We start from the raw sequence: 22161 nt of genomic DNA, 5'->3' as shown, positions 1-22161 counted from the left end.
TGGTCTCGAACTCCTGACCTCAGGTGATTCGCCTGCCTTGGCCTCCCAAAGTGGAATCACGGGTGTGAGCCACCGCGCCCAGCAAGCTTTCATTTATTTCTCCTTTCTCGGGAAGCTACTGAAGGTTGTACTCCACTAAAATAAGAGAGTAAACCAAGAATAAAGATGACATAGGATATAGGAAACAGAAAGATTCAATACAGGAACAGAGATGCCCTGAGAACAACTGTGCAATAGGCGTAGATTGGCGTAGGCCAGGAGGTTCCAGAAGAGACTGCTTCAGAAAGATGAAAATAGAACACCTCATCTAAACCTCTGGAAAGGGGAGATTTACACAATCATTGAGGGGTTTGGGCTTGGTCTAGTGATGAATAGTAAACTAAAATAAGATAATTATTAACTAGAGGAAAAACAAAAGCAGTACAGAAGAGAAGTAATCATAGTTTCTTATTTGCCTAAAATGTGAATGATATTTACCTAGTCATAATGAAGTAAACATAAATCCAAAAAAAGGACAGTATAAGGAATGGAAAGTTTGGTGGAGAAAGGGGAAGGAAAGAGAGCTAAATCTTTATTTTCCATTAAGTGAAGTCAGTAAATAATGTCTAAAAGTGAAAAATCAAGAAATAACAATACAAACACATTACATGGAGAGATTAAGGTAAATATCAAAAAAATTAGTTAAAAGAGGTGAAATGGGCCGGGAGCGGTGGCTCACACCTGTAATCCCAGCACTTTGGGAGGCCAAGGCGGGTGGATCACCTGAGGTCCGGAGTTCAAGACCAGCCTGGCCAACATAGCGAAAACCCATCTCTACTAAAAATACAAAAATTAGCCAGGCATGGTAGCATGTACCCGTAGTCCCAGCTAATCAGGAGGCTGAGGCAGGAGAATAGCTTGAACGTGGGAGGCGGAGGTTGCAGTGAGCCAAGATCATGCCATTGCACTCCAGCCTGGGCAGCAGAGCAAGTCTCTGTCTCAAGAAAAAAAAAAAAAGAGGTGAAATGACTGCTTTTGAGAAGATGGAAACAGGTGAGGGCTGAAGTGGGAATACAGTCCCTGCTGCTTCATTGCAAACCTTACAAAGTTTCTACAGAATTATTTGACTCTAAATTACAACATGTATAACTCTGATAACAATTAAAAATAAAATTAAAGGAGAAAAAATAATGCCCTAAACCCAAATTTTGGCTTCTGAAAAATCCACTTTCTGATAAAGGAAATAGGTAAATAAATAATTTAAGATTAAGTGTATAGTTTTGACAACAGAAATGTTGGCAATGACTGAGGGAACACAGAAAACAGTGAACTACTATCTGGGGCATGGAGAAAGGCATCCGAAGTGGACAGCATAGTAGTCAATAATAAGGATGAAAGAAGAGAGAAAGTGTGTGTGATAGGCACCTAGCAATCTGTAGTGTGAGGTGGAGTTAAAAGCAGGATACTGTACGTTATACATAATAGACGTGTTAGAATGGAATTTTGAAGTTGAAGACAACATTCAACTGTTACATGTTTATTAGAAGAAGTTGATACTAGGAAGAGGTTTTGAACACTTTTGTGTTATTTTAATTAAAAAACCAATAAAGAGTTGCCCATTTTGGAAAACAGAAAACTAAAAATCCATGTTTCACTTGTACCTTGACCTAGGCAGTTTTGGCTAAAATGCAAAACGAGTAAGGTTTGTCTAAGAAACCTTAGAAATGGCCAAAGAAATGTGAAAAATCTTTCCTCTAAATCTGTTTATGAGGAGTTGGGCTGCACTCTCAGAGTTTTTTTTTTTTTTTTTGGGACGGAGTCTCGCTGTTTCACCAGGCTGGAGTGCAGTGGTGAGATGTCAGCTCACTGCAACCTCCGTCTCCCAGGTTCAAGCGATTCTCCTGCCTCAGCCTCCCAAGTAGCTGGGACTATAGGTGAGTGCCACCACACCCAGCTAATTTTTGTATTTTTAGTAGAGATGGGGTTTCACCATGTTGGCCAGGATGGTCTCGATCTCTTGGCCTTGTGATCCGCCCGCCTCAGCCTCCCAAAGTACTGGGATGACAGGTGTGAGCCACTGCACCCAGCCTCTCAGAGATTTTTTTTTTAAGCCTTTACTTTTTTAGAGCAGTTTTAGTTTACAGCAAAATTGAGAGGAAGGTATAGAGATTTCTCATATACCTCCTGACCCCACACGTGCATAGCCTCTCCCTCACCAAAGTGGTACATTTGTTATAATTGATGAACCTACATTGACACATTATCATCCAGAGTCCATAGTTTACATCACTGTTAGTTCTGTAGATCAGCAGTTCCCAATGTTTTTGGCACCAGGACTAGTTTCATGGAAGACATTTTTTCCTCAGACTAGGGGGTAGGAATGGGTTTCAGGATGAACTGTTACACCTCAGATCATCAGGCATTAGATTCTCATAAGGTGCATGCAACCTAGATCCCTCACATGTGCAGTTCACAGTAGGGTTCTCGCTCCTATCAGAATCTAATCCCACCACTGATCTGACAGGAGGCAGAGCTCAGGCGGGAATGCTGCAGTGCAGCCTGGTTCCCAAAAGGCCACACTGACTGGTACCAGTCCGTGACTTGGGGGGGCTGGGGACCCCTGTTGTAGATTTTATGGGCTTGGACAAATGTATCATGACATACAGCCAGCATTACAGTATCATACAGAATAGTTTCACTTCCCTAAAAATTCTCTGTGCTCCACCTATTCATCCTTCCCTTTCTCCTAACTCCTGGCGACCACTAATTTTATTACTGTCTTATATAGTTTTGCCTTTTTTAGAATGTCATTTTGTCATTTAGTTGGATTCATATAGCTCGTGTCCTTTTCAGATTTTTTTTGTTTTTTTTTTTTGTTGTTGTTGTTGTTGTTGTTTTCTAGACAGTCTTACTCTGTCGCTCAGGCTGGAGTGCAATAGCATGATCCCGACGCACCCCAACCTCCACCTCCCAGGTTCAAGCAATTCTCCCGCCTCAGCCTCCCGCGTAGCTGGGATTACAGGTGTGTGCCACCATGCCTGGCTAATTTTTTGTATTTTTGGTAGAGATGGGGTTTCACGGTGTTGGCCAGGCTGGTCTCGAACTCCTGACCTCAAGTGATCCACCTGCCTCAGCCTCACAAAATGCTGTGATTACAGGCCTGAGTCACCATGCCTGGCCCAGATTGGTTTCTTTCACTTAGTAATATGCGTTTAAGGCTGGGCATGGTGGCTTACGCCTGTAATCCCAGCACTTCGGGAGGCCGAGGTGGGCAGATCACCTTATCTATTTAGATCTCAGAATAAATAAATACATAAAATAAAAAATATTTATTTATGTTTCCTCCATGTCTTTTCATGGCTTGCTAAGATCATTTCTTTTTGGCACCAAATAATATTCCATTGTTTGGATACAGCACAGTTTATTCAGCTACTGAAGGACATCTTGGTCTTTTTTTTTTTGAGACGGAGTCTCACTCTGTCCCCCAGGTTGGGGTGCAGTGGCATGATCTTGGCTCACCACAACCTCTGCCTCCTGGGTTCAAGCAATTTTCTGCCTCCGCCTCCTGAGTAGCTGGGATTACAGGCGCCCACCATCACGCCTGGCTAATTTTTGTATTTTTAGTAGAGATGGGGGTTTCACCATCTTGGCCAGGCTGGTCTTGAACTCCTGACATCGTGATCTGCCCACCTCGGGCTCCCAAAGTGCTGGAATTACAGGCGTGAGCTACCATACCCGGCCCGTCCTTAAGTTTTGGCAATTATGAATAATGCAGCTATAAACATACTTGTGCAGGTTTTTGTGTGAACATAGTTTTCAACTCCTTTAGGTAAATATCAAGGAGTGTAATTGCTGAATTGTATGGTAATAATATATTTCTTTTTTTTTTTTTGAGACAGAGTTTCCATCTTGTTGCCCAAGCTAGAGTGCAATGGTGCGATCTCAGCTCACTGCAACCTCCGCCTCCTGAGTTCAAGCGATTCTCCTGCCTCAGCCTCCCAAGTAGCTGGGATTACAGGCGCGTGCCACCACGTCTGGGTAATTTTTTGTATTTTTAGTAGAGACGGGGTTTCACCATGTTGGCCAGGCTGGTCTCAAACTCCTGACCTCATGATCCGCCCACCTCGGCCTCCCAAAGTGCTGGGATTACAGGCGTGAGCCACTGCGCCCGGCCGGTAATAGTATATTTCATTGTGTAAAAAACAAAACAAAAAAACAAATTGGGCAGGGCATGGTGGCTCATGCCTATAATCCCAGTACTTTGGGAGGCCTAGGCAGGCAAATCACTTGAGGTCAGGAGTTCAAGGCCAACAGGCAAAAACCCCGTCAAAAAAATTAGTCTGGCATGATGTCAAGCACTCGTAGGCCCAGCTACTCGGGAGGCTGATGCAGGAGAATCGCTTGAACCCTGCAACAGAGTGAGACTCTCTCTCAAACAAAATAAAACAAAACGGAAAAACTATTAGAGGCTGGGAGCGGTGGCTCACGCCTGTAATCTCAACACAGAGGCGGAGGCGGGCGGATCACGAAGTCAAGAGTTCGAGACCAGCCTGGCCAACATAGTGAAACCCCGTACTCTACTAAAAATACAAAAAATAAGCCGGGCATGGTGGCGTGCGCCAGTAATCCCAGCTACTCGGGAGGCTGAGGCAGGAGAATCGCTTGAACCCGGGTGGCGGAGGTTGCGGTGAGCAGCGATCGCGCCATTGCACTCCAGCCTGGGCGACAGAGCAAGACTCCGTCTCAAAAAACAAACAAACAAACAAAAAGCAAAAAAACTATTAGAGCCTGGGCAACATAGTGAAATCTTGTCTCTACCCCCCACCCCCAAAAAAATTAGCCTGGGTGCGGTGGGATGCACCTGTAGTCCCAGCTACTTGGGATACTGAAGTGGGAGGATTGCTTGAGCCTGGGAGGTCGAGGCTGCAGTGAACTGTGTTCACGCCACCGCACTCCAGCCTGTGCGACAGAGCGAGACTCTGTCAAAACCAAACCAAACCAAAACAAAAAAAACCTATGATCCGGTTTCTTGAAGCAGATCCTATGGCAAGCCATCAAGCCAGAGCGGTAAGAAGTAGGAAGATGGTGCTTTTAGATCCACTACATTCCCAGGATCAAATGTAGAACAATATTTAGTCCCTAAAGTGATTCTCTTTCCATTATTGTCAACTGCGTGGTCGGTGCAACGTGAAAGGGCCACAACTATGTGAAGGAAACACTTAGAATATAACACCAAAGGAGGCAATCGCTGCCTTAGACTTCCTAAAGATCTAAAGAACTCTTAGATGCTTGGTGAAATCGCTCTCTGCCGCTGGTGCGACTCAGGCGCGGTCGCGAGGAAGGTCCAGGGTGAACGCGCGTAGGCTGGGAGTCCGCGTTGGGGCGCTCCCTGGCTTGCAGGCCGCTCCGAGTGGGTGGGCCGGGGGCGGGGCCGGCGGCAGGGAGCGGACTCCGCCCCCGGGGCGGGTCCAGTCGGGCCGCGGCGCGTCGCTGCGCCGCACGTGTGCGAGCCCGGCCGCCGGTGAGTCGGCTGGAGCGCATCTGGTCCTCCGCGCGGAAAGCGCTGCTTTTGCCTGGCCGCCCTAGCCGCTGGCTCATCCAAGTGGCCTTCGCCGCTCTCTTGCGTCCCAACCAGAGCGCTGGCCACCTCGCCGCCCAGCTCACGCCGCGCCCGCGCTCCCAGGCTCCGGGTAAGTGCGCGGCCTCCCCGCGGCCGCCGGGGCTCCTCGGCCTGGCCCTGGCCCCAGCCCCAGCCCCAGGGCCCCGCCCCAAGAGGCAGTGCGGACTGGGAAGGCGGACTGGGAAGGCGGCCCCGCAGTGGTCAGAGCCCGCGGCGCCTCCATTATGGATCGTGCCAGCGGGAGCACGGTTGGAACCCAGTGGGTCCTGCGCTTCGGCGGTGCAGGCGCCGCTCTCCGCTCCCCGCTCCCCGCTCCGCTCTGCCCGGCCAGTCGTCCGGAGGCGCCGCGCCCGAGCGCTCCCCTCCTCCCCGCGCGGCGCTGTCCCCCGGGGGCCCCCTTCCCACTCCTCCCTTTCTTTGCCCCGGACGCTCCCTAAACTCTTGTCCCTCCGTCAGAGGAACACTGGCCCTGAAGCCCTTCACGGTGCCACTGCTTCGCCGCGCCTGCCTTCTGTGGGTCCAGCCCACGTGTTCCACCCCTGTGTCCTGCGTCGCCGCTCACTGGGAGCCTACTAGGCGCCACGCGGGCTCTGGGGACTGCTTGCTTTGTATGCATTTCCCAGAGTAGGAGTGGACGGGCTGCAGACTCAGAGTGCTTTCTCCAGCCCTCAAGCTGGGTGAATGCTTAACGAGTGGATGGAGGTGCTGCTGTGCAAGCTGAAATTCGAGTCCTCCTCGTCAGCCCTGCGCAGAGGTGTTTAGAAGCACACCTTCGTTGCCTGCCGAGTAGGGTTGGCAAAGAGTTTAGTTTTTAAAATATTTGGTCCCGTCAGACTACTTTTTTTTTCCATTCCAAAAATAAAGGGTTACTAAGGTTCCCTCCCCCCCATCCCCAAGCCTCTAATCATCTATGAAATGACTATGCCCCATTGGCCTGGGGGAGCCTCGACTATTGAGGGATCTGTCGAAAATCAGACTGTACAACACTATTGAAAAGGGGTTGGTTAGGCAATTGTTAGGTTCAAACATTAGGAAAGTAGCCAACAGTACGTACTTAACAACTCCTTGTGAACATGTTTTTGGTTTTTTTATTTTTATTTTTTTAATTTTTTTGAGACAGAATTTTGCTCTTGTTGCCCAGGCTGGAGTGCAGTTGCGTGATCATCGCTCACTGCAGCCTTGAACTCCTGGGCTCAAGCAATCCTCTCACCTCAGCCTCCCAAGTAGCTGGGACTATAGGCATGTGCCACCACACAGGGTCTCGCTGTGTTGCCCAGCCTGGCCTCAAACTCCTGACCTTAAGCAATCCTCCTGCTTTGACCTCCCAAAGTGCTGGAATTACAGGCTTGAGCAACCACACTCGGCCTTGAACATATCTTTGTTTTTTGATTTATTTTTTTTAGACGGAGTCTCACTCCATCACCCAGGCTGGAGTGCAATGGCACGATCTTGGCTCACTGCAACCTCAGCCTCCTGGGTTCAAGCGATTCTCCTGCCTCAGCCTCCGGAGTAGCTGGGATTACATGTGCACGCCACCATGCCCAGCTAATTTTTGTATTTTTATTTATTTATTTATTTATTTATTTATTTATTTATTTATTTTGAGACAGTCTCGCTCTGTCGCCCACATGTATTGCAGAGGCAGCACCTCCATCCACTCGTTAAGCATTCACCCAGCTTGAGGGCTGGAGATGTATTGCAGTGGCGCGATCTCGGCTCACTGCAGGCTCCGCCTCCCGGGTTCACGCCATTCTCCTGCCTCAGCCTCCCGAGTAGCTGGGACTACAGGCGCCCGCCACCACGCCCGGCTAATTTTTTATATTTTTAGTAGAGGCGGGGTTTCACTGTGTTAGCCAGGATGGTCTCGATTTCCTGACCTCATGATCTGCCCGCCTCTGCCTCCCAAAGTGCTGGGATTACAGGCGTGAGCCACCGCGCCCCGCCTAATTTTTGTATTTTTAGTAGAGACGGGGTTTCACCATGTTGGCCAGGCTGGTCTTGAACTTCAGACTTCAGGTGATCCACCCGCCTCAGCCTTCCGAAGTGCTGGGATTACAGGCGTGTGCCATCACACCCGGCCTTGAACGTGTCTTTTGATAGAGGCAGGGGCATGCATGTACTGTATTAATGAAGCAGCGTTTTTCCTTACCTAGGAGAGAGAGAGAACAATCCAGCTGGTCATACTGTCGACTAAGTTTGCTCCGGTTTCAGGTCCTTTACACGTGCTGTTCGGGCTGCCTGGAGCTCTCCTCACACACATCTTTTCCTGTCTGGTTCTTCCTTGTCTTTGCTCAGAAGTCTCCTCCTTAGACGAGGCATCACTGAAGAACACCCCTCTTACTCTCAGCCCCTTACCCTGTTTTAATTCTTTGGAGCTCGCATGTCCTGAGATTTATTTTGTTCTCAGATATATTCTCAAATACATTGTAAGCTACATGAGGACAGGAAATGGTATTACCCTTTTCTTCCAGTACCTACAACAATGCCAGACACATAGGACACTTGCTCAGTAAATATTTGCAGAATGAATGACCCTCATAGACTTAATGATTTTGCATATTAGAATGCAGTGTGTCTGCCGGGCCTGGTGACATCATGCCTGTAATCCCAGCACTCTGGGAGGCCGAGGCAGGCAGCTCGTTTGAGGTCAGGTCAGTAGTTTGAGACCATCCTGGCCAACATGGCGAAACCCCCTCTCTACTAAAAATACAAAAATTAGCTGGATGTGGTAATTTTAGCCCATGCCTGTAATCCCAGCTACTCGGGAGGCTGAGGTAGGAGAATCGCCGGAACGCTGGAAGTGGAGATTGCGGTGAGCCGAGACTGCACCACTGCACTCCAGCCTGGGCAACAGAGGAAAACTCCATCTCCAAAAAAAAAAAAATTAGTGTGTTCTCTGTGCTCTGGCCCTAAAGAAAATGCTCACTATTGTGAGAGCTATAGAGATTACTGATAATTTGCAGGGGATGGAGGAAAGATGTATTTACAAAGTGAAAGTTGTGGATAGTTTTGAAATATAATATGATAGAATTAAGACTAATGGCTGTTTTTGTAGGCTGGGCGCGGTGGCTCAGGCCTGTAATCCCAGCCCTTTGGGAGACCGAGGCGGGCGAATCATGAGGTCAGGAGTTCGAGACAATCTTGGATAACACGGTGAAAGCCCATCTCTATTAAAAATACAAAAAATTAGCCTGGTGTTGTGGCGGGCGCCTGTAATCCCAGCTACTCAGGAGGCTGAGGCAGGAGAATCTCGTGTACCCGGGAGGCAGAGGTTGCAGTGAGCCGAGATTGCGCCACTGCACTCCAGCCTGGGCAATAGAGTGAGACTCCGTCTCAAAAAATATACAAAATAAAATAAAAAATAATTCAAAAAAAGACTAATGGCTGTTTTTCTGATGTTTATTTTGGAGGAATTAATTAATAAGGGACTGTTTGGCCTGGGCGGTGGTGCACACCTGTAATCCCAGTTGAGGCAGGGCAGATCACTTGAGCTCAGGAGTTTGAGACTAGTGGGCAACATGGCAAAACCCTGTCTCTACAAAAAATACAAAAATTAACTGGGCATGGTGGCACATGCCTGTAGTCCCAGTTACTCGGGTGGCTGAAGTGGGAGGATCGCTTGAGCTGGGAGGTCGAGGCTGCATTGAACTGAGATCACGCCACTGCACTCCAGCCTGGGTGACAGAGTGAGACACTGTCTCAAAAAATAAATAAATAAACAAACAAGAGACTGTTGTTAGTGTTATATTAAAATTTTGAAAATGCTAAACTTAATTTTTGTTATAGGTGTAAAGGATTTTATTTTTTTTTTGAGACAGGGTCTTTCTGTCACCCAGGCTGAAGTGTAGTGGCACCATCACGGCTTACTGCAGCCTCAACGTCCTGGGCGCAGTGGATCTTCCCACCTCAGCCTCACAAGTAGCTGGGACTACAGGTGCATGCCACCTTGCCCGGCTTATTTTTATTTATTTTTTGAGACAGAGTCTCCCTCTGTCACCCAGGCTGGAGTGCAGTGGCGCAATCTCGGCTCACTGCGACTTCTGTCTCCCCAGTTCAAGCGATTCTCCTGTCTCAGCCTCCTGAGTAGCTGGGATTACAGGGCCACACCACCATGCATGGCTAATTTTTGGATTTTTAGTAGAAATGGGGTTTCGCCATGCTGGCCAGGCTGATTTCGAACTTTTGACCTTGTGATCTGCCCACCTCGGACTCCGAAAGTGCTGGGATTACAGGCATGAGACACCACACCCAGCTGCCTGGCTAATTTTTTAATTTTTTGCAGAGACATGGTCCCACTATGTTGTCCATGCTGGTCTCAAACTCCTGGTCTCAAGCCATCTACCTGCCTGCATTTTTTCAGAGATGAAGTCTCCCTCTGTTGCCCAGACTGGAGTGCAGTGGTGTGATCATAACTTACTGCAGCCTTAAACTGGTCTCACACAATCCTCCTGCCTCAGCCGCCCTGTTAGCTGGGACTACATGCACACATGCCCAGCTAAGAGTACTTCTTAAAGCTTAGTTGGTGAATCTAGTATTTTAATGAAAAGGGTTTTAAAATACTGTTAAAATTATAATATTTCTATTCTCAGTTGTCTCATTTGGAGTGCAGAGGAAACAAAAAACATTATTTTAGCATTCCCTCCAAAGAAATGTGAAGGATTGGCCAGGCGTGGTGGCTCATGCCTGTGATCCCAGCACTTTGGGAGGCCGAGGCAGGCAGATCACCTGAGGTCAGGAGTTCAAGACCAGCCTGGCCAACATGGTGAAAACCCGTCTCTACTAAAAATACAAAAATTAGCCAGGCGTGTTGGCGCATGCCTGTATGTACTCTCAGCTACTTGGGAGGCTGAGGCGGGAGGATCACTTGAACCCAGGAGGTGGAGGTTGCAGTGAGCAGAGATCACACCACTGTACTCCAGCCTGGGTAACAGGGTAAGACTCCATCGCCAAAAAAAGAAATGTGAAGGATTTTAAGTTTTGGGGAAAGTATCAGAGGAGTTCATTCTCTTCCTGGTTTAACATCAGGCTTCTGGTCTATGGGGTTTTACTTGACAATTAAGATACCATCATTACTATCATGGATAGTGTATTTGTGCAGCATGTTTTCTTAAAATTTTTTCTTTTAAATATGTCAAAAAATGCATAAAACTGCCCTCTCCCCCCTTTTCACATCTAGTAACTTTATATCTTCATTCAAGATAGAATGCTTGGGCTTTCCTGACTGCAAAACTGATTTCCTTGGGCCTCTCACCTTGGGGTAGTCAGGCTTGTTTTCTCTTTGCAATTTAATTCTCTCAGGCCTCTTCTATGTTCATAAGATCACCTCTCTCTCCTCTCCCCAACCCTCAATTTAAAAATTATATTCCAGTCCGGGCGCACTGGCTCACGCCTGTAATCCCAGGAACTTTGGGAGGTCGAGGTGGATGGATCACCTGAGATCAGGAGTTCGAGACCAGCCTGACCAACATGGTGAAACTCCGTCTCTACTAAAAACACAAAAATTAGCTGGGCGTGGTAGCGGGCGTCTGTAATTCCAGCTACTCAGGAAGCTGAGGCAGGAGAATCACTTGAACCCGGGAGGTGGAGGTTGCTGTGAGCCGAGATCAGCCAAGATCACGCCATTGCACTCCAGCCTGGGCAACAAGAGCAAAACTCCGTCTCAAAAAAAAAAAAATTCCATTTCAGCTTCCCTTTCACGTAGTTCCTGCTTGCGAAAATGACACTAGTTTGAGTTTTGCCTTTCCTAGTCCAGAGCTCTGAACAGTTCTTCTAGTAAATATGCTCTCCGCTTTTAGGCCTATAGGACAGAACTTAGAAAAATATATATTAAGTGATTTAAAAATCATTGGTACTATATATACTTTAATAATTAATTTGGGCCGGGTGCGGTGGCTCATGCCTGTAATCCCAGCACTTTGGGAGGCCAATGTGGGTGGATCACTTGAGGCCAGGAGTTTCAGACCAGCCTGGCCAACCTGGTAAAACCTGGTATCTACTAAAAATACTAAAATTAGGCCAGGCGTGGTGGCTCACGCCTGTAATCCCAGCACTTTACAAGTTTGAGGTGGGCGGATCACCAGGTCAGGAGTTTGAGACCAGCCTGACCAACATGGTGAAACCCCGTCTCTAGTAAAAATACAAAAAATTAGCTGGGCTTGGTGGCACGCGCCTGTAATCCCAGCTACTCAGGAGGCTGAGGCAGGAGAATCGTTTGAACCCAGGAAGCAGAGGTTGCAGTGAGCCAAGAACATGCCACTGCACTCCAGCCTGGGCAACAGAGTGAGACTCTGTCTCAAAATAAATAAATAAATAAATAAATAAATAAATAAAATAAAATAAAATACAAAACTTAGTCGGGCCCAGCTACTCAGGAGGCTGAGGCGTGAGAATTGCTTGAACTCAGGAGTTGGAGGTTGCAGTGAGCCGAGATTGTGCCACTGCACTCCAGCCTGGGTGACAGCAAGACTCTGTGTCAAAAAAAAATTAATTTGTCTATGATAGGGCCATTGACTTAAACAATGAAAAATGTAATTTCATTTGAAATTTAAAAGTGAGTTTAGTTTATTCTTGTCTTTTCAGTTAGATATATCAAGAAAAAGAGATCAGACAAATGTCCACAAATATCAAGAAAAAGACTGGCAACCTAAAGGCCTGTTGTCAACCTAAAATAATCAAAAACGTCAGAATCTAGTACAAAGAGAAATTATTCAAGTGCAAAGTTTGAGGATGTCCCACCTGGAAACACCAGTTCTAAAAAAATGGAGTCAAAGTTCTGAAGTAGGGAAGTTTAGGTTTTATATAGGCAGAGACAGGAGTTTTTAGCAGGATTACAACATTTTTCGTACAGGGTTTTCACATAGTTACAGCAATTTGATTGGTTATAGGCAGTGTTTCTTTTTGGGGAGAGTACATTGGGGAAGGTGTAATAGTTATGGGTTTTCTGTCATACGGTTTAAGCATAAGCAGGACACCAAAGGGAAAGTTCCTCTCTAACAAGGGTCATTAATTAAGAATTTTTAGTCATTGTAGGCCAGGCGCGGTGGCTCACGCCTGTAATCCCAGCACTTTGGGAGGCCAAGGCGGGCAGATCACGAGGTCAGGAGATCGAGACCATCCTGGCTGACACAGTGTAACCCAGTCTCAACTAAAAATACAAAAAATTAGCTAGGCGTGGTGGCGGGCGCCTGTAGTCCCAGCTACTCGGGAGGAGGCTGAGGCAGGAGAATGGCGTGAGCCCAGGAGGCGGAGCTTGCAGTGAGCCGAGATTGCGCCACTGCTCTCCAGCCTGGGGCACAAAGCGAGACTCCGTCTCAAAAAAAAAAAAATGAGAGAGAATTTTTAGTTATTATATGGAACAGGAAAAATGAAAGTAAGCTAATCTGTAATCTGAAAAACAAATTGTAACCATATGTGACTCAGATCATAGTCACATCTCTCTCAAGGCTTAAAAAGTGTTTTGGGGATTCCAACAGCTTTTAGATTCTGTTTTCTTTTCTTTTCTTTTCTTTTCTTTTTTTTGAGATGGAGTCTCGCTCTGTCACCCAGGCTGGAGTACAGTGGCGCGATCTCGGCTCACTGCAAGCTCGGCCTCCCGGGTTCACGCCATTCTCCTGCCTCAGCCTCCTGAGTAGCTGGGACTACAGGCGCCCGTCACCACGCCCAGCTAATTGTTTGTATTTTTAGTAGAGATGGGGTTTCACTGTGTTGGACAGGATGGTCTCGGTCTCTTGACCTTGTGATCCACCTGCCTTGGCCTCCCAAAGTGCTGGGATTACAGGCATGAGCCACTGTGCCCAGCCAGCTTTTTTTCTTTTTTTAAACTCCTCCAGACATAACAACAATACAGTTCAGCTATGTAAATCATCCATAATAACTATTTTTTTTTTTTTTTGAGACGGAGTCTTGCTCTGTCACCCAGGCTGGAGTGCAGTGGCACAATCTCGGCTCACCGCAAGCTCCGCCTCCTGGGTTCACGCCATTCTCCTGCCTCAGCCTCCCGAGTAGCTGGGACTACAGGCACCTGCCACCACACCCGGCTAATTTTTTGTATTTTTTAGTAGAGACGGGGTTTCACCATGTTAGCCAGGTTGGTTTCGATCTCCTGACTTCGTGATCCGGCCTGCCTTGGCGATCCACCTGCCTTGGCCTCCCAAAGTGCTGGGATTACAGGCGTGAGCCACCGCGCCCAGCCAGCTTTTTTTCTTTTTTTAAACTCCTCCAGACATAACAACAATACAGTTCAGCTATGTAAATCATCCATAATAACTATTTTTTTTTTTTTTTTGAGACGGAGTCTTGCTCTGTCACCCAGGCTGGAGTGCAGTGGCACAATCTCGGCTCACCGCAAGCTCCGCCTCCTGGGTTCACGCCATTCTCCTGCCTCAGCCTCCCGAGTAGCTGGGACTACAGGCACCTGCCACCACACCCGGCTAATTTTTTGTATTTTTTAGTAGAGACGGGGTTTCACCATGTTAGCCAGGTTGGTCTCGATCTCCTGACTTCGTGATCCGGCCTGCCTTGGCGATCCACCTGCCTTGGCCTCCCAAAGTGCTGGGATTACAGGCGTGAGCCACCGCGCCCAGCCCATCAATAATAACTATTAAGGACTAACAGTTGAATAAGAGGAGCTATTACAGACCTTTGGCCAAGTCATCATATTTTACTTTTACAGAGAAAGAAACAGATTCGAGAGGTTAAGTCACCCACTTAGTAAATGGCAAAACCTAGATCTGTCTCCAAGATTGTTGAGAGGGGGAGGCCTGATGTTTTTTCTGCATAAGGAGAGGAGGTGAATATTTTGCTGACTGTGAAGTCCCTGTGCCAAGCTGTGTGAATGGCCGTTATTGGCCACTCTTTCTTCCTTACTGAGAGTTCTGGCCTCTGGAAGGGCATCAGGATCTCCTGGTAGAGCTGTGATGCCAGCTGGGAAGCTTGTATGGTCATTGGGGAGGCATTGCAGGTTTTTGGTAAGGGCATGTGTGACACAATGTGATGAGTGCCCGCAGATCGTCTCCACTGGGATGTCTCCCCAGGAACCTGCAACACCACAGGACTATGGGTGGGCTCATCTTCTTCCAACACCTGCTCTTCTTTCTGGGACCCTCATATCAGGAGGACCACCACTGTCCTCTCAGTTCCCCAGGGATGGAAACTTGAGTCATCCTGAAGTATTTCCCCTTTCCTCCCACATTTGTCACCTTCTCCTGTCCCTGCTACTACTTCCTAAATGTTCTTGAAAGTCGCCTTTTTCTGTCTCCCTTGCTTCAGCCTTAGATCAGATTATATTAATTTCTTGCCTAGATTACAGCTGTACCCTCTTACCTGGTCTTCCAGCCTAACCCCAGTTTCTCTTCAAAGGGGTGCCACAGAATCTTTCTGAATTACAAATTCAGTGCTGGTCTGGTTTTCAGGTTGTGACTCCCTCCTTGTAGCCTCATGTGGCCTCCGCCCCTCCCAAGCTGTAACCCCAGACTCTCCTTGTATGTCTAACCCCCACAGTGGGCGATGAGTTCTTTTGCTCTTCCAGCACTCTGTGAGCTCCCACGCCCCCATGCCTTTGCACATGCTGTACCTGTGACCCCAAATGACCTTCTCCTGCTTTTCCTTCCTCTTCCTTATGCCACAAAATTTGGCCCAGGCATTGTAGTCTTTGGTTAGGTTTTGTCTTCAGTGTGTTCTCCCGGTCCTTGTGTAAGCCCTGGTCCATTTTTGTCTCCTTCATTTGTACAAAACCTCTGAGGGTAGTTTTGTTGCTGTAAGGTGAGAGTGAAATCGTGTCAGCATTTCATAAACCAGCGTTCTTTTTTTGACTACACCTGTTCAGGACAAAGAGTAAATGCTTTTTTCTTTGAATTAGGGATACTTTTATGTAACTACAGTTGTGGTCTACTTCTATTCCAGTTTCAGTTTCTTCCATTTTCTGTATTTAATTTCTTGTCTTTCAAAGGATTTTTTTTTTTTTTTTTTTTTTTTTTTTTGAGACAGAATCTCTCTCTGTCACCCAGGCTGGAGTGCAGTGGTGCAGTCCCGACTCACTGCAACGTCCGCCTCCCAGGTTCAAGCGATTCTCCTACCTCAGCCTTCTGAGTAGCTGGGATTACAGGCGCCCGCCACCATGCCTGGATAATTTTTTGTATTTTTAGTAGAGATGGGGTTTTACCATGTTGGTCAGGCTGGTCTCGAACTCCTGACCTTGTGATCCACCCGCCTCAGCCTCCCAAAGTGTTGGGATTACAGGCGTGAGCCACTGCACCAGGCCGCCAGAAATTGTTTTAACTGACATTTTTTTCAATCCCTTCTCTCCTATTTTTTGTAGCTGTCATAATACTTTTTTGTTTTGTTTTGTTCGTTTTGTTTTGTTTGAGATGGAGACTCGCTCTGTTGCCTAGGCTGGAGCGCAGTGGCGTCATCTTGACTCAGTGCAACCTCTACCTCCTGGGTTCAAACGATTCTCCTGCCTCAGCCTCTCAAGCAGCTGAGATTACAGGTGTGTGCCCTCACACCCAGCTAATCTTTGTATTTTTACTAGAGAGGGGTTTCACCATGTTGGCCAGGCTGGTCTCGAACTTCTGACCTCAGGTGATCCACCCACCTCAGCCTCCCAAAGTGCTGAGATTTCAGGCATGAGCCATGCGCCTGGCCTGAGCCACAGTACCCAACCACTTTTTTTTTTTTTTTTTAAATGAAAATTTATTCTTAAATGTACAACAGGCTCCAAGACCATACTTCAAGTAGCTATAGGTGGCAAAAGATGTTATGGCAGGGAATACAGATGTTTAAACGGGAATGGGGCCAGGTGCGGTGGCTCACGCCTGTAATCTCAGCACTTTGGGAGGCCGAGGCGGGCAAATCATGAGGTCAGGAGTTTGAGACTAGCCTGGCCAACATGGTGAAGCCCCGTCTCTACTAAAAATACAAAAAATAAGCTGGGCATAGTGGCGGGCGTGCCTGTAATCCCAGCTACTTGGGAGGCTGAGGCAGGAGAATGGTGTGAACCTGGGAGGCGGAGCTTGCAGTAAGCCAAGATCGTGCCACTGCACTCCAGCCTGGGCGACAGAGCGAGACTCCGTCTCAAAAATAAATAAATAAATAACATTTAGTTAATCATCATTATTATTTTGCTGTAGATGCTTATATAGGTGGCTTTCTTGTTAACCATGCCTTGGAGAACTAGCATATTCATTTTCTTTTCATTTGCTTTATTTATGGATATGTTTACTACATTCATCAGTATGTTACCTTCAGCATCTTGTATGTAATTAACATAGAAAAAGTTTTTATCCTTATTTTACCAAGAGCATCAAATTAGACCAGACACGGTGGCTCATGCCTGAAATCCCAGCACTTTGGGAGCCCAGTGTGGGAAGATCACTTGAGGTCAGGAGTTCGAGAGCAGCCTGGCCAACATGGTGAACCCCTGTCTCTACCAAAAATTACAAAAATTAGCCAGGCGTGGTGGTACACGCCTGTGATCCCAGCCACCCGGGAGGCTGAGGTAGGAGGATGGCTTGAGCCCAGGAGGTGGAGGTTGCAGTGAGCCTAGATCGTGCCACTGCTCTCAAGCCTGGGCAACAGAGTGAGACCCTGTCTCAAAAAAAAAATTAAAATTTGCCATTTTAACCACGTGTACAGTTCAGTAGAGTTAAGTGTATTCACATTGTTAGGCAATCACTATCCAGAACTTTTCATCTTGCAGAACTATATACCACCTGTATGACACCTCCCCATTCCTTTTTTTTAATGTGGTATGACATAGGTATGGCTTTCATGTCAGTAAGCGTGGTTATACAATATTTTATTTTATTTATTTATTTTTTTTTTGGAGATAGAGTTTTGCTCTTGTTGCCCAGGCTGGAGTGCAAAGGCACAATTTCAGCTCACCACAACCTCCACCTCCTGGTTTCAAGTGATTCTCCTTCCTCAGTCTCCCGAGTAGCTGGGATTACAGGCATGTGCCACCATGCCCTGCTAATTTTGTATTTTCAGTAGAGACGGAATTTCTCCTTGTTGATCGGGCTGGTCTCAAACTCCCGACCTCAGGTGATCTGCCTGCCTCAGCCTCCCAAAGTATTGGGATTACAGGTGTGAGCCACCGATCCCGGCCACAATATTAATCAGTTTTTTGAAAGGATAATACATATACATCAAACAAGCTTCAAATGATTACAACCATGTTATTGAGTGAGAACAGCAAATTTCCCACCTCTGTCCCCAGCCACCACTTCTAGACCCTCTCCTAGAGGTAACCACCCTTCCCAGTTTCTTGTCAATGTTGCTACATATTGTTCAGTTTATGTACCCAAGTTTCATTGCTGTTAATGTTTTGCTAATATAAAAGCACTGTGGCCAGGCAGGGTGGCTCACACCTATATTCCCAACACTTTGGGAAGCCAAAGTGAGAGCATTACTTGAGCCCAGGAGTTCAAGACCAGACTGAGCAATAATAGCGAGACCTAGTCTTTACAGAAAAATAAAAATAAAAAAACTAGCCAGGCTTGGTGGCATGCTGCTGTAGTCCCAGCTGCTGGGGAGGCTGAGGCAGGAGGATTGCTTGAGCCCAGGAGTTGGAGTTTGCAGTGAGCTGTGATCATGCCACTGCACACCAGACTGGGTGAAAGAGCCAGACCTTGTCACTGAAAAAAAGAAAAAAGTATGGAGATGAATATCCTTAGAGCTAAAACTTTATTATTTCTTAATTATTTTCTTAAGATAAATCCCTAAAAGTAGTATTACTGGGTCAAAGAGCATACATATTTTTAAGGCTTGTGATGATGTGCGGAAGTATTATGCCGGTTTTCTGTCCCACAAAAAGTGTATGCCAACATCTGGAAGAATTATTTCTATAAATGATTTTTAGGATCGTATGAACAACATTAACTATGCCTTTATCTGCTGAAACCAACTTCTTTCCTTTTTTTTTTTTTTTTTTTTTTTTTTTGAGATGGAGTCTTGCTCTGGTCCCCCAGGCTGGAGTGCAGTGGCTCGATCTCTGCTCACTGCAAACTCCGCCTCCCAGGTTCAAGCGATTCTCCTGCCTCAGCCTCCTGACTAGCTGGGATTACAGGCGCCTACCACCACGCCCAGCTAGTTTTTTTTTTGTATTTTTAGTAGAGATGGGGTTTCACCATGTTGGCCAGGCTGATCTCGAACCCCTGACCTTGTGATCCGCCCACCTCGGCCTCCCAAAGTGCTGGGATTACAGGTGTGAGCCACCGTGCCTGACCTTTTTTTTTTTTTTTTTTTTTTTTTTTAAGACAATGTCTCACTCTGTCGCCCAGGCTGGAGTGCAGTGGCACTATCTTAACTCACTGCAACCTCTGCCTCCCGGGTTCAAGCAATGCCCCTGCCTCAGCCTCCCAAGAGCTGGGACTATAGGCGCCTGCCACCCACGCCTAACTAATATTTAGTAGAGATGAGGTTTCACCATGTTGGCCAGGCTGGTCTTGAACTCCTGACCTCAAGTGATCTGCCTGCCTTAACCTCCCTCAAAACGCTGGGATTACAGGTGTGAGCCACCGCGCCCGGCCTGAAACCAGCTTTTATATAGGTGATTGTTACTTTCTACTCTTTCCTAACAGGTTTTCTTAAATGTTTTCTTGGAGCCTTAAAGATGGAGATGACAGAAATGACTGGTGTGTCGCTGAAACGTGGGGCACTGGTTGTCGAAGATAATGACAGTGGAGTCCCAGTTGAAGAGACAAAAAAACAGAAGCTGTCGGAATGCAGTCTAACCAAAGGTCAAGATGGGCTACAGAATGACTTTCTGTCCATCAGTGAAGACGTGCCTCGGCCTCCTGACACTGTCAGTACTGGGAAAGGTGGAAAGAATTCTGAGGCTCAGTTGGAAGATGAGGAAGAAGAGGAGGAAGATGGACTTTCAGAGGAGTGCGAGGAGGAGGAATCAGAGAGTTTTGCAGACATGATGAAGCATGGACTCACTGAGGCTGACGTAGGCATCACCAAGTTTGTGAGTTCTCATCAAGGGTTCTCGGGAATCTTAAAAGAAAGGTACATTTAGTTTATGAATAAAGTTATTTTGATTGTATTAGGTTTCTTCTTTAGAAAGAAATTAGCTTTATATTCTTCCACTTAGCTTTCCATCTCCAAGGCTTGTTTATACTACTGATCAAAAGGAATAGGATGAAGGAAACCTGCCTGAATAAATAGCCTTGGATTTTTAAATTTTAATTAATTAATTTTTTCCCTTTTTTTGAGAGAGGGTCTCACTCTGTCACCCAGGCTGGCATGCAGTGGCATGATCATGCCTCAAATAAATTCATTCACCAGGCACAGTGGCTTACGCCTGTTATCCCAGCACTTTGGGAGGCCGAGGCTGGCGGATCACTTGAGGTCAGGAGTTTGAGACCAGCCTGGCCAACATGGTGAAAGCACATCTATACTAAAAATACAAAAATTAGCTGGGCGTGGTGATGGGCACCTGTAATCCCAGCTACTCGGGAGGCTGAGGCAGGAGAATAGCTTGAACCTGGGAGGTGGAGGTTGCAGTGAGCCGAGATTGCACCACTGCATTCCAGCCTGGGTGACAGAGCAAGACTCTGTCTCAAAAAAATAAGTAAATGAATAAATTCATTTAAATGGTTTCAGATTTTCTCCTGAGTTTGTTTTATAATCTTAAACTCTTTTTTCATTTGAATGTGCCACAACTATGTTAGAAGAAGGTAGTCTTTGGAGCCAGGTGGATCCCAGTGTGAAGTTCGCTACTTAGTAGTTACTTAGCCTCTCTGAACCTCAGCATCCTTATTTAAAAAATGGATCAGGCCAGACACGGTGGCTAACGCCTGTGATCCCAGCACTTTGGGAGGCCAAGGCGGGCAGATCACTTGAGGTCAGGAGTTTGAGACCAGCCTGGGCAACATGGCGAAACCCTGTCTCTACTAATAATACAAAAATTAGCCTGGCGTAGTGGCACGCGCCTGTAATCCCAGCTACTCGGTAGGCTGAGGCAGGAGAATCACTTGAACCCAGGAGGCGGAGGTTGCAGTGAGCCAAGATCAAGCCACTGCACTCCAGCCTGGGCAACAGAGCAAGACTCTGTCTCAAAAAAAATAATAGTAATAAAATAAAATTTTTAAATGGATCATATTACCACATTGGGGTTGTTGAGGATTTTGAATAATGCATGTAAAATATTTAACATAAAGGTAAGCTTCAGGCTAGTTCATGGTAGACTTACTGGGTTCTGATTCAATTAACCATATAGCATATTTTGTGATTTAATTTAGTGTGGGCTGCCTGAATCGTCATAGGGTAATGTTAATAAGCTTTTGTTTTTGCATTTCTCTGGAAGAATATTCTAGAAGCTAAGAGGGTCTTTTCTTTAAGTTCTCATATAAAACTTGAGCCAAGGTATGGCTCAGCATTCATTAAGAAACCAGAAAAGACCGGATGTGGTGATTCACGCCTGTAATCCCAGCACTTTGGGAGGCCAAGATGGGCAGATCACTTGAGGTCAGGAGTTCAAGATCAGCCTGGCCAAAATGGTGCAACCCCGTCTCTACTAAAAATACAAAAATTAGCTGGGCGTGGTGGCACGTGCCTGTAATCCCAGCTACTCGGGAGGCTGAGGCGGGAGAATCACTTGGACCCAGGAGGCGGAGGTTGCAGTGAGTGGAGATCGAGCCACTGCACTCCAGCCTAGGCAACAGAGCAAGGCTCCATCTCAAAAAAAAAAAAGAAAAAAAAAATTAACTCCATGTGATTTTGCACTGAAGATTTTTTAAAATTCCTTGTTTTGCATAATAGTAAGGCTTGCTGTTGATCAACTTTATCTTAAAATTAATAGAAAACAGGATGTTAATTATCTGAAAGTTCATGTTTTCTTTCATCAGATACTCCGACTTCGTTGTTCATGAAATAGGAAAAGATGGACGGATCAGCCATTTGAATGACTTGTCCATTCCAGTGGATGAGGAGGTAGAAGTAGCTCTTTAGCAAATGTCACCTTCTGTATAAAAATAGCATTTCCTAGAGATTTAGAAATATAGAGCTTTATTAAACTTGAATTCTATGTATGATTCATTGTGAGTTCTCATGGTTATTTTAAAGGACCCTTCAGAAGACATATTTACAGTTTTGACAGCTGAAGAAAAGCAGCGATTGGAAGAGCTCCAGCTGTTCAAAAATAAGGAAACCAGTGTTGCCATTGAGGTAACTAATGCAAAAATATATGAAAAATTATTTAGGGTTTTAGTTGCTTTTTGGGTGGATGTTAAGTGTTTATGGAAAAAATTACAATGGTTAACAAAGGGTGACTTTTTGCTCTATTGGATCTAAAGGATATTACACTAAAAAATTTTTTTACTGGGGCAGATAACTAGTATCCCAGATAAACTATAGCCCCCCCCAAAGTTACATTTTTGTTTAAAAACATTTTTATTTGGGTACAGTGTTACATGCTATTCCAAAGTCCTAGCTACTCCGAAGGCTGAAGCCAGAGGTTTACTTGAGCCCAGGAATTGGAGACTAGCCTGGACAACATAGTGAGACATCATCTCTGAAAAAAAAATTTAGGGACCACAAATGAACAGCGACATATGTTGTTT

General features: G+C 46.3%; 1 protein-coding gene across 9 annotated transcripts in view, besides 6 other annotated features; it reads left to right on the top strand.

Moving 5' to 3' along the window:
• Positions 4185 to 4685: an enhancer, noted in NCBI's record as "H3K4me1 hESC enhancer chr7:105163483-105163983 (GRCh37/hg19 assembly coordinates)". NCBI's record gives its function as "activates a minimal SCP1, AML or CMV promoter by ChIP-STARR-seq in naive H9 embryonic stem cells {active_cell/tissue: H9 hESC(naive)}" and the evidence as "EXISTENCE:reporter gene assay evidence [ECO:0000049][PMID:30033119]".
• Positions 5322 to 6071: a silencer, noted in NCBI's record as "silent region_18522". NCBI's record gives its function as "represses an Ori minimal core promoter by ATAC-STARR-seq in GM12878 lymphoblastoid cells {active_cell/tissue: GM12878}" and the evidence as "EXISTENCE:reporter gene assay evidence [ECO:0000049][PMID:35858748]".
• Positions 5322 to 6623: a biological region, named in NCBI's record as "H3K27ac hESC enhancer GRCh37_chr7:105161545-105162199".
• Positions 5450 to 22161, top strand: part of PUS7 (pseudouridine synthase 7) — a 65771-nt gene continuing 49059 nt past the window's right edge. For 5 of the 9 annotated variants that reach the window (XM_047420532.1, XM_011516336.4, XM_005250462.5 and 2 more), the window contains exons 1-4: positions 5450 to 5669; positions 19177 to 19606; positions 21448 to 21532; positions 21665 to 21766. In XM_047420532.1, coding sequence (XP_047276488.1) covers positions 19209 to 19606; positions 21448 to 21532; positions 21665 to 21766 — 585 coding nt within the window. In that variant the 5' untranslated portion in view covers positions 5450 to 5669; positions 19177 to 19208. Of the gene's footprint in view, positions 5670 to 19176; positions 19607 to 21447; positions 21533 to 21664; positions 21767 to 22161 lie in introns of those variants that run through there. The other 4 variants (XM_047420533.1, XM_017012367.3, NM_001318164.2 and 1 more) reach the window with 2 other exon arrangements.
• Positions 5969 to 6623: an enhancer, noted in NCBI's record as "H3K27ac hESC enhancer chr7:105161545-105162199 (GRCh37/hg19 assembly coordinates)". NCBI's record gives its function as "activates a minimal SCP1, AML or CMV promoter by ChIP-STARR-seq in naive H9 embryonic stem cells {active_cell/tissue: H9 hESC(naive)}" and the evidence as "EXISTENCE:reporter gene assay evidence [ECO:0000049][PMID:30033119]".
• Positions 6281 to 6426: a silencer, noted in NCBI's record as "fragment chr7:105161742-105161887 (GRCh37/hg19 assembly coordinates)". NCBI's record gives its function as "represses an EF-1alpha promoter that drives an FKBP-Casp9 reporter gene in an ReSE screen in HepG2 liver carcinoma cells {active_cell/tissue: HepG2}" and the evidence as "EXISTENCE:reporter gene assay evidence [ECO:0000049][PMID:32094911]".
• Positions 6938 to 7555: an enhancer, noted in NCBI's record as "H3K4me1 hESC enhancer chr7:105160613-105161230 (GRCh37/hg19 assembly coordinates)". NCBI's record gives its function as "activates a minimal SCP1, AML or CMV promoter by ChIP-STARR-seq in primed H9 embryonic stem cells {active_cell/tissue: H9 hESC(primed)}" and the evidence as "EXISTENCE:reporter gene assay evidence [ECO:0000049][PMID:30033119]".

This window comes from Homo sapiens, chromosome 7, assembly GCF_000001405.40.
Source record: "Homo sapiens chromosome 7, GRCh38.p14 Primary Assembly".
Lineage (NCBI taxonomy): Eukaryota > Metazoa > Chordata > Mammalia > Primates > Hominidae > Homo > Homo sapiens.
The sequence above is the reverse complement of the archived record's forward strand: the minus strand, read 5'-3'. Positions and strand labels throughout refer to the sequence as shown.